The sequence below is a fragment of the Homo sapiens genome, chromosome 11, assembly GCF_000001405.40.
Source record: "Homo sapiens chromosome 11, GRCh38.p14 Primary Assembly".
Lineage (NCBI taxonomy): Eukaryota > Metazoa > Chordata > Mammalia > Primates > Hominidae > Homo > Homo sapiens.
Genome location: NC_000011.10, coordinates 102,520,093 through 102,538,079, shown reverse-complemented (window position 1 = coordinate 102,538,079; position 17,987 = coordinate 102,520,093). Strand labels below are relative to the sequence as shown.

The 17,987-nt window shown below is 37.9% G+C and overlaps 1 protein-coding gene across 1 annotated transcript; it reads left to right on the top strand.

The window, feature by feature from the left end:
* The first annotated feature begins 7,332 nt into the window (after window positions 1–7,332).
* MMP7 (matrix metallopeptidase 7) lies at window positions 7,333–17,572 on the top strand. The gene is made up of 6 exons (NM_002423.5): window positions 7,333–7,487; window positions 10,097–10,323; window positions 10,408–10,556; window positions 13,016–13,144; window positions 14,679–14,840; window positions 17,276–17,572. The coding sequence occupies exons 1-6, from the start codon at window positions 7,380–7,382 to the stop codon at window positions 17,302–17,304; spliced, it is 804 nt and encodes a 267-aa protein (NP_002414.1). The 5' UTR covers window positions 7,333–7,379; the 3' UTR covers window positions 17,305–17,572.
* The last annotated feature ends 415 nt before the right edge of the window (window positions 17,573–17,987 follow it).

Genomic DNA, 17,987 nt, shown 5'->3' with positions numbered 1-17,987 from the left:
CCAGTAGGCACAGAGTTTCTCTAGAGAAATAACTGTCTTTGTTTAAACAACAACAACAACAAACCTAACTAACTGCTTGACAATGGAAAGGAAGGCCTTGAGTGCTTGGATTATAAGGAGACAGCCTAGAGATTAGTAAAGGGCCCCTAATTTTAAAAAAGGAATGAAAGTTCATTGGAAGGACTGAAGGAAAATAGAATAGGAAAAGCCAGGGCAGGATCAGAAGATCTATTTGGTGAAAGATTTTTTTTTTTTAAGAACAGGGAAGCTTAATATTAATTTTTAAGTTATCTACAGTATGATCCTGGGCTGAAACTTGCCTCTCCCTACTCCCTACTCACCAGTAAAATCTATTATACAAAGCTACTTCTGTGAGTCTGTATGGAGGAGGTCAAGCATACAGTTACATCCCACTTCAGAGTTCAGGCTGGGACAAGGATTATTACTTCACTTTCTTTCTGAAGTGTAACTTGTAAAAATTGGCACTGATGGAAAAAATATCTAGCCCCATTTGAAAGTTTCCCTGCCCTTCCTCTTGCAAGCAGGGGAGAGGTACTTAGTTAACTAACGTCTAAATTCTTCATAGGCTGCAGTTTGGGGGGAAACGAAGGAATAGACAGAAAGGAAGAATAAGTGGTTTTGATTTTGCTTCCTCCCTTTGGTGGTGGAGAGAGCTAGCTTCTGATAGCATGGCATCTGAGGAAGGCTGTAGTCTCTCAGACCATCCTCTCCTTCACTGTCCTTTCCTCTTTATGCTCCTTCTTCCTGTAGTTCTAGAACTTTCCATCCACTGATGCATGAGCCCCAGGGCAATGGCAGCTGCACTGAGAGGCAATGTTGCTGCAGCAGTTCACACTTGCCTTGCAAAAGGCTTAGATGTCACCTTGTTATTTGCCCCTCACCCAAATAGAGGGAGGGCCACCCATATCAACAGGTGTGTCCACTAAGGTGCTCCACCACCTTCCCTTTCTCTGCATAAATCCTGCTGTTGAATATAAAATGTTTCCATTTGAAATTAAAATCCTGTTACTTTTCCTATCTGATTTACCCTATTTCAATTTTCGTGACTTTTTCCCGTGAATTTGTTCCATTGTTCATACTGTACACCCAAAGATTTTATTGACATAAAGACGATGTGCTTTTCTTGTTTAAAAGCTTAATAGCTTCTATAGTAAGGAGATTAGTTTGGTTGATTATTATAACAAATCACATTGAAATATTTAAGATAGTTACTTCCTTGTGTCTCAGAAAACATTGGCATCAATAAAAATTATTGGAACAGAATCATTTAAACCTTGTATCTTTCCTTTATACATGTCTGATCTCCACGCTAGGTTCACAGATGGGGAAAAATGATATTATATTACATACAAACTTTCAGCATAATAATGACAACAATGACATCAATACTAGCCAGCATTTACTGAGCTTTTACTGTGCTTCAAAAACACTGCTAAGTCTTTTATACACTTAATCTTCTCATTTAATCCTCACCACAACCCTAAGGAAAAGTACTATTTCCATTTTTCGGATAAGGAAGTTGAATTTCATAAAGGTTAAATATTCAGTCACTGTAACACAGAAGGAATCTAACCGGGGCTGAATAACTCTCCTTTAACATAATTACAAGTTAAGTCAGTCTGCTCAGATCACCAAAGCAGAAAATCACACTACAGCAAGAAGAAATCAAAGGTATGAAAAGGAAAGCTATCAGAATCAAAGCATCTGGAACAATGACCTAAATATAATAGCTAAAACCATAAAACTCTTAGGAGAAAATGTAGAAATAAATCTTCGTGACCTTGGATTTGGCAGTTGATTCTTAGATGTGACACCAAACGCATGAGCAACCAAGGAAAAAAATAGATAAATTGGACTTCATCAAAATTAGAAACCTTTGTGCCTCAAAAGACATTATCAAGAAAGTGAAAGACAACCCACAGAAATTTGCAAAATGTTTGCAAATCACATATCTGATAAAGGTTTGATATCCAGAATATATAAGGAACTCCTACAACTCAAAAAAAAGACAAATAACCCAATTAAAACTATAAGCAAATGACTTGAATAGACCTTTCTCCAAGGATATACAATGCACAACAACCATGTGAAAAGATGTGCAGCATTATCCATTAGTCACTAGGGAAATACAAATGAAAACAACCATGAGATACCACTTCGTGCCTACTTAGATGGCCATGATCATTTTAAAAATTAAAAATAAGATAAAAAATAACAAATGTTATTTTGAATACAGAGGATACAGAGAAATTGAAATCCTAGTACATTGCTGGTGGGAATGCAAAAGGGTATAGCCACTATAGAAACCAGTTTAGTGGCTCCTCAAAAAGTTAAACCTAGAATTACCATATGACCCAGCAATTCTACTCCCAGGTGTATACGCAAAGTAACTGAAAACAAAAATTCAAACAGGTATTTGTACACCAATGATCATTGCACAATTGTGCAGAGCAGCCAAAAGCTGAAAACTACCTAAGTGCCCATGGATAGATGAATGAATAAACAAAATATGCTATATCCATACAATGGAATATTATGTAGCCATTAAAAAAGAGTGAAATTCTGATAAATGCTACTACAACATGAGTAAATCTTGAAAACATTGTGCTAAGTGAAATAATCCATACACAAAAGGACAACTATTGTATGTTGACATTTATAGGATGTACCTGGAATAGTCAGATTGATAGAGACAGAGCAGAGTAGAGATTACTAGTCTGGAGGGAGAGGGGAGAAGAGAGCTATTCGTTAATGGATACAGAGTTTCTCTTTGGGATGGCAAAATAGCTCTCGAAATGGATATTGGTGATAATTATATAACGTTGTAAATGTACTTAATGAAACTCAATTGTACACTTAAAATGGTTAAAGTGGTAAATTTTATATGATGTATATTTTACCAGTTAAGAAAACATAGTTTCCTTCCTTAAAAATAAGTCACTCATAACCTATGGACCAGATCACTCTCATTAGCTCCAGACCCAATTTCCAGCTGAAACCTTGAACCCGATGTCCAGGATGTCCATGATGTCTTTACTTTCCCACGACCACATCTGTTTCCCTCACAAAATCAACTCCTAGTTTCTTTTCCTATAAGCCATGTTTCCATATTAACAGCTTGACCACCCACCAAGTCTATTAGGCTCAGATCATCCTTGATTTTCTTCTCATTCCTGCAGCCAATCATCTCCCCAGTTTTGGTTTTGTTTTGTTTTGTTTTTATCAATCCTACCTTCTACATACGTCTTGGATTTCCTTCCTCTTTTTCATCACTATGGTCACAATCTTAGTTTAGGGACTCATCTTCCCCCTGTCTCACCTGGATTATTGTCATAACTTTTTGCTTGGTCTATCTGCCTCTCCAGTATCCCTCTAGAGGGCATCATCTCATCTTCCACAATCTGTCTTTACAACCACCAGTAGCATTTTCTTACAGCATTTCAAATCTCATCATGCTGCTTTCTTCCTTTAAAACATTCCCTGATGCCCTTGGGATAAAGTCCAAACTCCCTGGCACACGAGGCTCGCTCTCAACAACTTGACCCCCACCTGCTTTTCCAACCACTCACCATCCCGGACCACAGCCACATTGACTGCTCGCTCTACTGTATCCATGCTCTTTTCCCATGTCTTCTTCCTGGAATGCCCTTTTCCAAGGGAACTCCTATTTACCCTCCAAAATCCAGCCAAAATGCCACCTCTTGTATGGATTACTCCTCAGTTCCCACAAGAAGGATTAACTGTTCCCTTCTCTTTGGTAGCTTTGCATATTATAAGCGAGTGTCATTTTGTTTTAAAAGTATTTACCTCCCGATATTGCCACCCTAGAGCACGAGCTTCTAAAGGCTGGAACTGGGACTTGATTCCACTGGGTCTTTTTTCCTAATTACAATTTAGATGAACAAGAGATTTCTTTCTCCTTATTCAAGAGTGAATATTGAAGGAAGTCACTAAAATTAATTTAAAGTGTTTGTAATTTCTAATGCTCTTTGAATTGCTAAAAGTAAACAGAAATGTAAAATACAAAATCTAGAAAATACCTTTTTTAAGACTTTATTTTTTTAAAGCAGTTTTAAGTTCACAGCAAAATTGAAAGGAAAGTACGGAGATGTCCCATATACCTCCTGCCCCCACACATGCATAGCCTCCCCCATTATCAACATCCCTCACCAGAGAGGTACATTTGTTTCTGTGTGTGTGTGTATTTTTTTTGTTTTGTTTTGTTTTTTTGAGACAGAGTCTCACTGTATTGCCCAGGCTAGAGTGCAGTGGCGTGATCTCGGCTCACTCCAATCTCCACCTCCTGGGTTCAGGTGATTCTCCTGCCTCAGCCTCCTGAGCAGCTGGGATTACACGCACCTGCCACAACACCTGGATGATTTTTGTACTTTTAGTAGAGACAGGGTTTCACCATGTTGGCCAGACTGGCCTCAAACTCCTGACCTCAGGTGATCCGCCTGCCCCGGCCTCCCAAAGTGCAGGGATTACAGGCGTGAGCCACCGTGCCCAGCCTATATTTGTTACAATTGATGAACCTACACTGACACATCATAATCACCCAAAGTCCATTGCATTTGTGTTCACTCTTGATGTTGTACATTCTATGTGTTTGGACAAATGCAAAATGACATGAATCCACCATTACAGTATTGTACAGAGTAGATGCACTGCCCCAGAAATTCTCTGTGCTTTGCCTATTCATCCTGCCTATCCCACGTCCAGCCCACACAACTACTGATATTTTTACCTATTTTTGCCTTTTCCAGAATGTTACATAGTTCGAATCATACACTAAGTAGCCCCGCAGATTGCTTCTTTCACTTAATAACATGCATTTAAGATTCTTCCATGTTTATTCATGGTTTCACAGCTCATTTCTTTTTAGCACTGAATAATATTTCATTGCCTGGATGTCCCGCAGTACATGTATTCATTCACCTACTGAACGACATCTTGGTTGTTTCCAAGTTTGGGCAATTATGGATAAAGCTACTATAAACATCTATATGTATGTTTTTGTGTAAACATTTATTTTTATCTCCTTTAGGTAAACACCAAGGAGCACCATTGCTGAATCATATTGTAAAAGTATGTTTCATTTTGAAAGAAACCATCAAACTGTCTTCCAAGGTGGCTGTACCATTTTTCATTTCCACTAAAACATCCTGCAATTGCCACTGTCAGCGTTCTGGATTTTGGCCTTTCTAATTGGTAAGTAGTGGTATCTCATTACTGTTTTGATTTGCATTTCCCCAATGACATATGATGTGAAGAATATTTTCATATGCTTATTCACTATCTGTATATCTTTTTTGGTAAGATGACTGTTAAGGTTTTTGGCCCATCTTTAAAATCAGATTGTTTGTGTTTTTATTGTTGAGTTTTAAAAGATACTTGTATATTTTGGATAACAGTCCTTTATTGGATATGTCTTTTTTTTTTTTTTTTTTTTTTTGAGAGAGAGAGAGAGTCTCCCTCTGTCACCCAGGCTGGAGTGCAGTGGAGTGATCTCAGCTCACTGCAACCTCTGCCTCTGAGGTTCAAGCAGTTCTCGTGCCTCAGCCTCCTGAGTAGCTAGGACTACAGGCACGCATCACCATGTTTGGCTAATTGTTGTATTTTTATTAGAAACAGGGTTTTGCCATGTTTCCCAGGCTTGTCTCAAACTCCTGACCTCAGGCAATCCACTGGCCTCAGCTTTCCAAAGTCCTAGGATTACAGGCGTGAGCCACCGCGCCTGGCCATGGATGTGTCTTTGCATTCATTTTCACCCAATTTGTGGCTTGTGTGCTCATTCACTTGAGGAAATGCCTTTTGATTTTAATTCAATGCAAATATTACCAAAAACGTGATATAATTCCATTTTTAGCTTATTCAAGTAAAGTTCATAAATATTCATTATTCTACAAATATTTATGGTGCACCTTATCACATGTCAAACTCTGACTAAGGATACCAATTACTCTAGTTAAACTGTGACCGTACAGAATCAAGACATCTCTGTAAAGAGAGCAAATTTAATTAACTGATCTGAAAATTTTACCTTTGCTGGCTCACAGTGCTCAATTACCATGTAATTGAAGTGATATGTGATTAATTAAATTTTTTAGCTCCAGCATATTTGGAGTGTTTCCCATGATGTATTAGAGTCAAAAGCCATGGTGTTCTCCCAAGTAATGTATAATATAATAAAAGAGACAGACCTATTACAAAATGAATAGGCAGTGCAGTGGGATAGAAAAAGCACTGAGCTACTATCTGTGTGAGCTGGGAGAAGTATAATAAGTTAAATTATCATCTTGGCCTCACTTTCATTTTTGGTAAGAATGGAGTCATTGGGCTAGAATCTGTAGGTAATGGATTCTTACTGCTATACGTAGAATAACCATTTTGTGTACTAAGGACCAATGCAGCCCTACCTGTAGCTGGGCAGCAGCCAGAGTCAGAGTGATTGGAAGAAAAAAATTGGATCTCCAAGTTGAAGGTCTAGCCTTGGAAGAATCTGTTACTATAAAATGAGAAGCAGAATAAGTAAGCCAGATGAAGAGTTAAACCCGTGCTTGTAGATTTTTGTTGGCTTGGTATTTTTTTGTGTTTAATTCAAGAAGAATTAGAGGCAGTGTTCCCCATTAAGAAAAGACATAAACTGATTAAAAGGAGACCCAAAGAAGGGAATTATCACTGCTCTGCTAAGGGACGTGGAAGGTGAGGGGACACAGCACAGTTGTATATAGAGTGGCCACTAATCCAGCCACACAGCAGCATTTCCATCTGCCTCCTGCCATCTTTCCCCTGTATGGAGAACCACAGGATTTTGGTGATGTTCTATTTCTTGACTTTGGTGACGGTTACAGTATTTGCTTAATTATTATTTCATTATTTACATGTTTTGTGCACTTTTCCAAACCTTTTAATTGTTAAGAATATATGGTACCATGTATTTAAGAATACATGGTACCATATAATAAGAATATATATTTAAGAATATATATTATTCTTTAAGAATATATGGTACCATAATGTCCTGAATGATACCTATGAGAGCAGTCATTTGACTTTGGCAAAAAAATGAGGTTTCTCATGGAGTCAATTTATGCAGCAGACAGAAAAAAAAATCCTTTGAAAGACAAATACATTGTGTGCTTCCTGCCAATAACGATGTAATACTTCCTCGTTTTAGTTAATGAAAAATAACACATACTTTCAAAGTTCTGTAGACTCTAAAAAGAAAGAAAACACTCAAATGAGTCACCTATTTCCACATTCGAGGCTGAGAAGCTATATAAATTTCTGCAGTCACTAGCAGAAAACACCAAATCAACCATAGGTCCAAGAACAATTGTCTCTGGACGGCAGCTATGCGACTCACCGTGCTGTGTGCTGTGTGCCTGCTGCCTGGCAGCCTGGCCCTGCCGCTGCCTCAGGAGGCGGGAGGCATGAGTGAGCTACAGTGGGAACAGGCTCAGGTATGTCACAGCCCACTTACTTAGGGTTCCATTCTTTTGCCATCTGCATTAAGAAATGTGTTTTTCAATTATTTCCCTTCCCATGTTAGCATTGCAGTGGAATTTTCTTTGGGGTGGTTCTTCGGATTATAAAAGCAATATATGTTTTCATCAAGTAGCCATTAAAAGCAGGTTTCAGAATCTGCTCAAATCGGGCTTGAGTTCCAACCCTCCACTCACTATGTAGATAGACTCAGGAAGGTCATCAAACTTCTCTAAGCTTCAGGTTTCCAATTTGGAAGTTGGAGATAAGAATGGTATCAACCAAATGAGGGTGTTGTGAAGCATTCAACACAATACCTGAAACATTGTTTAAATTAAGTTCTTATTTTTATTTATTATAACTTGAGATTCTTTTTCTATAGTATACAGAATATTGCCTCTTAAGATACAACCTGTAAATATACTGTTTGTGTATTTACAATACTGTTTGTAATGGAGATATCTGAAGTCAGAAAACATGGGTAGAAATTACAACTCTCCAACAAGTCAATGACAATAGACAAGGCATTAACATCTGACTTTGTTTTCTCATGTGTCCAGTAGAAAAAATAATATTATGTGTTTTATACCTCATGGGGTATTCTAGTAAGTAAATGAGGTGATAACAAAACCAACTAGCATGTATGTAACAATTGTAGATTATAAAGTACTTATATAGACATTGTGTCATTTAATCCTTAGTTCTATAAAAAGAGGAAACCAAAGTTAAACTGATTAGTGTACTTATTAGTGGTAGAGATAGAAATCAAGGACAAGTGCTTCTGGTTCAAAAATCATGTTCCTTGCAATATGCTTCTTAATAAGCAGTCTAATAAATATAAGCAGTCTACTAATTATTATTTGGTTAACTAATGGGATGATTACTTATAACTATTATTTGTAAATTTAGGCCTTAAGCATAAGAAAAGTCAATTTTTAATTCACATTAACTTAGACTTTTAAAAAGTTCCAGTTATAATAAGTTAGATTGAACCACATAAAGTTACTAGTATTTAACTTTTAAAATCTCCAAAACAGTAGTTTTATATGGTTCCACCTAATGAATTCTCCAGAAAGAGTACTCTGCGTTTAGTTTCTTTACTTAGAGTGAAGGTTGGCAGAAACTTAGTCTTCACTTGGAGGGATGTTAGCTAGGTTTAACAAAAAAACAGGAAAAGTCATCTCAACAAAGCAGAGAGATTTCTTCCAGAGGGTGTCTTGGTAAAGTCTGTAGCTCTAGAAGGGATTAAATGGGTTATTTGTTTTTAAATAAAGGATCAGTTATCAATTGTCATGGATGAACAATAAGTATTTGTTGTATTTAATGAGACAATTGTTGGTAACAGGAAAAAAAGACACAATATTAATAAGATTTCTTACATAAATTGCATATTCCTGGGCGGTCCTAAGACAGGTAACCATTACCATCTACTCCAAATAAACTGCAAATTAGTGAGCCAATGTTTAAATCATTTTAACAACAATATTATCAGGCATCATATAACCCTACACATGTTTCTAATGTATAGAAGTCAGAACACTTGAGTTCAAATACTGGTTCCTTCAGTTACTCACAAGGTGATCTTGTGCAATTTATTTCACTTCTCTGAGCTGTGTTTCTTCATGTATAAAATAGGGATAACAATGCCATACTTGTTTCATAGAGTGGTTATGAGGTTTACATAAAATAAATATGTAAGTGCCTGGCTCTAGTAAGTGCTTAAAAATGTTCCTGTGAGGTTGCTATTGTTGTTAGTTCATTCACTTTTGTTGTTGTTGTATTTGTGCTGCTGGATTCCTATCCTCATATTCAGATACTGAGAAACTTTAGAGAAATTCCCAGGAATCCAACCTTGCATGGAATAAACCTGGGAGTCCTACTGTATACTGCAATCTCCCAAAGTGGGTTTGACTAGAGATTTAACAGCAGAAAGAAGGGCTGGGAATGGAATGAGCAGAAAGAGGGAAAAGAGGACCTAGGAGTCAGGAAAGTCAAGTCCAGTTCTGCTACTAATTTAAGGTGTGAACCTGGGCACATAAATCATTTAGTTGCTATAAGCTTTGGTTCCTTCACCGGATTATTAAATTGAACTATTTAATAATTTCCTAATATCTTTTCCCAGAGCTAAAATTTTAAGACCCTTTAACTTTTAGCTGGAACCGCATCTCAGCTGGACTTTAGATAGGGCTGGTTGACCTCAGATCTCCCCCACAGGGTCTATGATAACACAGAGAATGTCCCAGTCGTACCCCTGAGGACAGACTGGTACATGCTTCCTGATTGCTCTTACACACTTCTAGGCTTTATAAAGTGTACAGTGTAATTCTCCCCAAAACATTTAAATGGATTTTTTAAAAATTGAGGGATTCTTTTCTTTTGCTCACGAAATGGCACGCCAGTGCTTCATTAGCAATATTAAATTTTCTCCTCACTAATGCACACTTATTTTTCTCTGTGACTATGTAATTATTCTGTCTTCAAATCATTATTTGAATTCACAGGAACCAAAGGCAAGAGATATATAGGCTTCTAAGATAAAAGAATATAATAAACAAGAACTATAGATTAATTACTCTCTTTTCAATAGGACTATCTCAAGAGATTTTATCTCTATGACTCAGAAACAAAAAATGCCAACAGTTTAGAAGCCAAACTCAAGGAGATGCAAAAATTCTTTGGCCTACCTATAACTGGAATGTTAAACTCCCGCGTCATAGAAATAATGCAGAAGCCCAGATGTGGAGTGCCAGATGTTGCAGAATACTCACTATTTCCAAATAGCCCAAAATGGACTTCCAAAGTGGTCACCTACAGGTTAGTTTTGCTCTGGCTCATTTTGGCAAAAACAATAAAGCCTGTTTCCTAGGGGTCAAACATTGTTTTCTTGTTTGCTACTAGGATCGTATCATATACTCGAGACTTACCGCATATTACAGTGGATCGATTAGTGTCAAAGGCTTTAAACATGTGGGGCAAAGAGATCCCCCTGCATTTCAGGAAAGTTGTATGGGGAACTGCTGACATCATGATTGGCTTTGCGCGAGGAGGTAAGAAAGATTCCTGTAGGCTAATCCTGTGTCCTGTTTTGTTTGTTCATGGTTTATATCAGTGCTCTTTTCTTATGAAGATTAAAATCCTTTAATGAGATATGATTGGTAGATAGATAGTTAATAGATAGATTTAGCAATATTATTATAATTTTTATAATCTGGTAATATAGAGCCACTTTTTATAGCAGCAGTTGGCAAACTATGATGCATGAGCCAAATCCAGCCCACCTTCTGTTTTTGTAAATAAAGTTTTACTGGAACACAGTCAGGCTCCTTCATTTCCCTATTACCTATGACTGTTTGGGCTCAGGCTGCAACTGTGACAGAGATCACAAAGCTTAAACACTTGTTATCTGACCCTTTACAGAAAAAGTTTGCCAACCCCTGTTTTGTAACGTGAATTATTATTTATATATACAGTCATGCACTGCTTAACAATGGGAATACACTCTGAGAATGAGAACTTTGGCAATCTTGTCACTGTGCTAACATCATAGAATACACTTACACAAACCCAGGTGATACAGCCCACTATCCACCTAGGCTACATAGTATAGCCTATTGCTCCTAGGCTGTAAATCTATACAGCATGTTACTATACTGAATACGGTAGGCAACTGTAACACAGTGGCAAGTATTTGTGTGTCTAAACGTATTTAAACATTGAAAAGGTAATGTATTGAGCTATGACATTATCACAACTACTATATCACTAGGCTATAGGAATTTTTCAGCTCCATTATAATCTTATAGGACCATTGTATATGTGATCTGTTTACTGAAAGATCATTATGTAGCACATGACTATATGTTTACAATATATCTACCTAACATCGATATTAAATCAACAGAAAGAGTCGCAGCTTCCAAAGGCCTCAAGAGTCCCCTGAGAAGTGGTATATGACCTGTTGCTAATGCCTTTCATGTGGCAAGGAAGTAGGAAATGGAAACTTTCATATTAAAGAACTTAAAAATATATAACACAGCAGGGTGTGGTGGCTCACGCCTGTAATCCCAGCACTTCGGGAGGCCAAGGCAGGTGGATCATCTGCGGTCAGGAGTTCAAGACCAGCCTGGCCAATAGGGTGAAACCCCATCTCTACTAAAACAAAAATTAGCTGAGCATGGTGACGCATGCCTGTAATTCCAGCTGCTTGGGAGGCTGAAGCATGAGAATCGCTTGAACCTGGGAGGCAGAGGTTGCAATGAGCCAAGGTCACACCACTGTATTCCAGCCTGGGCAACAGAGCAAGACTATGTCTCAAAAGAAAAAAAAAAAATATATATATATATATTTTTTTTTTTTACGTGGGTTTTTCTATATGTAAAACCCATTTTTTTAGTATATGTGTTATATATGTGTGTGTGTGTATATATGTATATATAAAACCCATATACATAAATTGTTCTTAATTGCTAGTGTTTCATGGTGCAAATTTAGAGAAAAATGTTGCCCATTTCAGTCTGTTCTATGTGGAATGGTCCGGCTACTGTAGCTGAAATTTGAACTTCAACCCACAATATTGACAACACCGAAGAAAATGTTATGGGAAAGCACTAATCATGGCACTACAAGTTTTTTAAGAGCTAGATAAACTGGACTGGCCTCATATCACCTCGAAGATAACCAGCTCTGCATCACACATTAAAGGACTATAAAAAGCCATTTTAAGAGATCTTGAGCATGGCTCTCTAAGAGACTATTTACTATGCCCACGAAGAATAAGCTAGGTTTTTAAGAAAAAAAAAAAAAAAAACCTATGAAATGGTGCACAAATTACTTGCCAAATGTGGTATTCATATTCATTCTCCCTCCCACCACCCTTTGGCCGAGCAAAGTGGTCAAATTTAACAAAAGCTTAAATGCAACCTTAAGTTAGATATAACTGCATTTTAAGTCCTGTATCCAGTAAGCTTTCAATATATGGTGATTATCAGTGATGAGCAATGGTTCTGTGAAAGGAAAAGTGTCTGGGCCAAGAAAGCACCCAAACTACCCTGTGAGTGCAACCGACAGCACATAACAATGTCAGCTACTTGCACTGGGCTGCCTTTTTTTTTTTTTTAATTTATTTTTTGAGATGGAGTTTCACTGTTGTCACCCAGGCTGGAGTGCAGTGGCGCGATCTCAGCTCACTGCAACTTCCGCCTCCTGAGTTCAAGCAATTCTCCAGCCTCAGCCTCCCAAGTAGCTGGGATTACTACTTGGTGGCATGTGCCACCATGTCCAAATTTTTGTATTTTTAGTAGAGACGGGGTTTCACCATGTTAGCCAGACAGGTCTCAAACTCCTGACCTCAGGTGATCCGCCCACCTCGGCCTCGCAAAGTGAGCCACCATGCCTGGCCTGGACTGGGCTGCTTTTTCTAGCCTCAATAATCGTATAAACTGAAAAATAAAATGACTGGAGAAAAAAAAAATCAGTCACTAAGAACAATCACTCCATTTTCTTTCAGCTCATGGGGACTCCTACCCATTTGATGGGCCAGGAAACACGCTGGCTCATGCCTTTGCGCCTGGGACAGGTCTCGGAGGAGATGCTCACTTCGATGAGGATGAACGCTGGACGGATGGTAGCAGTCTAGGTATAGCATCTCATGTCTCTTCTACTCCACATCCGTTTTAAAATCCTGGACTTACACTAAGTTAAATAATTATATTAATTTATAATAAGTATTGAGCCCTTGCTAAGTGCCAAACACTGTACTATATGCCTGAAATGCATTATTTCATGTAATATACTCATAATGCTACACACAGAAGATGGACACTCAGGCTATGGAGTCAAGCACCACTGATCCAATTTGCTGTACGTCTACCAATTACTCTGTGTCATTGGGCAAGTTATTGAATTTCTCTGAGCCTCAGTTTCCTCCTCTGTGGAATGGAAATATAAATAGTTCCCACATCAAGGAGTCTTTAAATTAAATGAGATAATGCTTATACAGTGCTTGGAATGTATTAATAATTAATTAAATTATAGCTCTTTCTTCATATTTCCAAAAAATACATGCCCCAAATGGAAAAGAAAGAGAAGTAGAAACTATGATATTTGAGAAGTATATGCAATTCTGGAATTATTCACTATTTTCCAGAAAGAACCAACTCCATGATTTAGTATATCATATTTATCATTTTACATAGTAGGATATTATAGGCACATGAGAGAACTAATGGAGAAGAGCTCTGGCATAAATAATCCCAATTAGAGACAATTTTTTTAAGGCTACCAACTGGCCCTAAAAGGGAAATTTGTACTTGTGTTTGGCAAAAGGAATTCACCATAGCTTGCTGTCTTGCTGTGAAAATCTATGTTAAATTGTGATGCTGCCTCCCATTTGCATCTGGCATATTCTTTTCATTCTTCTTTCTTCCCACTTAAGGTAGGTTAAAGGCAGCTTCCTTCAATTCAATGCAACGCCACCAGAGCTCAGGCCACTCCTCAAACGCACGGGCTCACACCTTCCACATACTTGCAAAGCCTTTCAATGAGTATGAGGGAGAACAAAGGATATATGTAATACAAGTTAATGAATCAAAATCAAAAACAAAGCCCAGCATTGCCTAGAGACCCTGCCTTTCAATCTTCGCTTTCTCAAAGCCACCATTCTCTCTTCTGATATCCAAAGTCACTAACATTTATTGAATGGCCGTGACTTCCCAAATATTGAGAAACTCTAGCTATCATGACAAATCTAGAGGGCAGAAATTACTGTCTCTGTTTAACAGATGAGAAACTGAGACTCAGCAACATCAATTAATCTGTCCAGAGTTGTCCAGCTAGTAAGTAGTGGAGCTACATTTCAAACCTAGGTCTTAGTGCTTTTAAAACCTTTGCTTTCCACTGCAGAGTATTGCTGCCTGAATGAAAGAAGCAAATAAAAAAAATTACACATTTTTAATAAGCAGAAGTAGTGATGAGATTAAAGCACTCCTATTCTGATTAACCTTCTAACCCCTCTCCACTTTTGAAAGCCTAGAAACAAATAAGTAAGCTACCGTGGGCTAAAACTTGGGTATTTTTCTTTAGTTTTTTTAAATTATGATATCATATATATAATATTACATAATGTATGTAGCTATTTTTATCATTACTGTTTGTCACTTCTTCGGTTGTAGGGATTAACTTCCTGTATGCTGCAACTCATGAACTTGGCCATTCTTTGGGTATGGGACATTCCTCTGATCCTAATGCAGTGATGTATCCAACCTATGGAAATGGAGATCCCCAAAATTTTAAACTTTCCCAGGATGATATTAAAGGCATTCAGAAACTATATGGTAATATTTATTATTTCAAATAAGAGGATTTCCCATTTTCTTTTTAGAGTGGGGTAGGAAAAGAAAGGCTGGGAAATGGGTATTTACCTGGAAAACCACACTGGAACTCATATCAAAAAGCCTATTGAGGGGAGGAATTGGGGACCTTAGATACTTAAAATATAACTAGGCTGTAATATACTATGAAGATGTTGATTGTGAGTTTCAGTAACATAGTATCATGTGGTAAAATTATGCAAATGATATTGTCCAGATTTTCTTCAAGCTGCCACCCACTGCTCTTCCTCTCTCAGTTTAAATAGTTTAGGAGAGTGTCCCCTGTAGGGGTGGACTGAAGGGACAAAACACCTTTCTTCATAGCTGCCCACTCCTAAGGATTCAATCCTAGATAATTATAAGTGACCCTGCTCTTCCTGTTTGCACGTACATGTAGAGAAAGCGGTTAACCACGGACAGAAACTGCTTATCATTCCTGGTCTTGATACTTATGTATATCCCTTGCCCCAGTCTATGCTTTTTTGGTTTAATCAAGTTCCAAATTCAGTTTTTTTAAGTGCACTGATTTGGATTTACTGTATTGAGTCAGCCAAAAGTAGTATTTGAGAAAGAAATCAAAGGACAAGAATAAAAAGCTCTGTCTCTGGATAAAGATAAGGAAAGTAAGATTCAAAGAGGCTAAGTGGACTGTCCAAGGTCATGTGACTGTCGAGTGCTTGAGCCATGATTCCAAGTGAGGGCTATGTGACTTCATACTTTTTCTACGACATATTCCTGCCTATCACTACCCAGTAAGCTTTTTATCCTAGTAAGAATAAAAGAATACAGAATGACATCTTTAAATCAGCAGATATAACTAAACCTAGCCAGTAAAAATATCAGGATGAAGAGAATACACTGCAAAAAGATCACTTAAGATTCTTCAAATGATCACGTGAGCAATGAAAGTGCTTCCACATAATAGAGGACTGTCCTCAGGGGAGAAATATTCCAGTAAGACACTGGATTTAAGATATCAGTTCAACCTAGCATTTGCTATAAATCAGCATGTCCCAAACTGTATTCTCAGAACACTAGTCCTACAGGGTGATTCCCAGAAAAGGAGGCTATGGAGAAATAAGTTCAAGAAACACTACCTACTGTATTTCAGGTGTATAGACTATTAGAGAGTATGGAGTATTGAACAAATGTTTAACTCAGTGTTTCCTAAATTATAATCCTTTTTATGGGTCTCAATGAGTCCCATAAACTAGCACTTCAGAGAACACACTTTGGAAAATGCTGTGTAACTATTCCCAAAAGTTACGACGTAAAGAACCACTGCTGTCCAAAAGATTCACAAAATGCTGACTATTGTTCGTAAAGTTATCATGAACAAAACTGAAAATACTATCCTCCCCTTACATAAAACTGTGGAACTCATGGAATATTCTATAGCAGTCTATAAATATTTTAGAACCCTAAGAAAAATACAAAGAGACTAAAGAAGGTCTGAGGCATGCTGATTAAATTTAACAGGAAGAAAAGAGACTAGTGCATTAAAACCTTAAGTATTAGACAAAAGGGCATCTCTGGTCAGAGTTGGAAACAAGTAACTTCTGGACAAATGGAAATAGAATTTAATTATGTGGGCTGTATATGTAGGGAGTTAATCTAAAAAGTAATATGAGCAGAAAACATAGATTCCAAAGAAAGTGATTAAGATACAAGATTCCTAATGCTATACTCAGAATGATAAAAATAATAGCTGGCTGGGCGCGGTGGCTCACGCCTTTACCCAGCACTTCGGGAGGCCAAGGTGGTTGGGGATCGCTTGAGGCCAGGAGCTCGAGACCTGGACAACATGGTAAAACCCCATGTCTACTAAAAATACAAAAATTAGCCGGGCGTGAAGGTGCATGTCTGTAGTCCCAGCAACTCAGGAGGCTGAAGCATGAGAATTGCCGGAACCCAGGAGGCAGAGGTTGCAGTGAGTCAAGATCACACCGCTGCAATCCAGCCTGGGCAACAGAGTGAGACTCCATCTCAAAAAATAAATAAATAATAGCTAACATGCATTGAGTACTTGCAGTATCCCAAGACTTCACATGGATTAACTCATTTAATTCAAGAATTCAATGAGACATTATTATCCACATTTTACAGATTTGTAATCTGATGCTAAGAGAGGTTAAGTAGTAAACTACCTAAGGTCACACATCTAGTAAACTGGTAGAAACAAGATGCAAAGGTACCTGAGCCCTGGGCCCACACTCCAGTCAATCCTGCCTTCTTAGCCTCTGGAGGTTGTTCTTCAGAATCTTTGTCCCAGGGACAAGAAATGGTCTGAGTGAATAATAGATTATACTTTCTGTGACATTTCCTTTGCCTGTATAATCTTAGGATGGTTTTTATGCATTTTCTACATATCAGAATGTTCTTTTTTTTTCTCTCAATAGGAAAGAGAAGTAATTCAAGAAAGAAATAGAAACTTCAGGCAGAACATCCATTCATTCATTCATTGGATTGTATATCATTGTTGCACAATCAGAATTGATAAGCACTGTTCCTCCACTCCATTTAGCAATTATGTCACCCTTTTTTATTGCAGTTGGTTTTTGAATGTCTTTCACTCCTTTTAAGGATAAACTCCTTTATGGTGTGACTGTGTCTTATTCATCTATACTTGCAGTGGGTAGATGTCAATAAATGTTACATACACAAATAAATAAAATGTTTATTCCATGGTAAATTTATTTATAGTTTGGAGCACTCTTTCTGTGAAGACATACTATACAATGAAACGAAAGACTAAGACAAAAAAAGAATCCCACCACACTATTTTGAGGTCTTCCGCAGCACCTCACCCTTCCACCCAAGAGGGAAGGTGGGAGCTCCACCTCTTTATTGTTCATTAGTGTGGCCCAAAGTTACACTAATTTCCCCTTACCTTTGTGGCCCGTGCTCTCACACTGAGTCCTCTGGAAAGTCCAATTCTTCCCACAAATGTCTGAGAATTTCCAACAACTTAAGACTTACCACCTCACGGTCACTTCCAGCTCCAAGTTCCTACCTGCCCCTCACCTCCTGATTTTCCTGCAACCTCTCCTGCTGCAGCCACTCTCTAGGTTCCCTTCCCTTTTCCCCATGCCAACGCAGATGTTGGTCTCA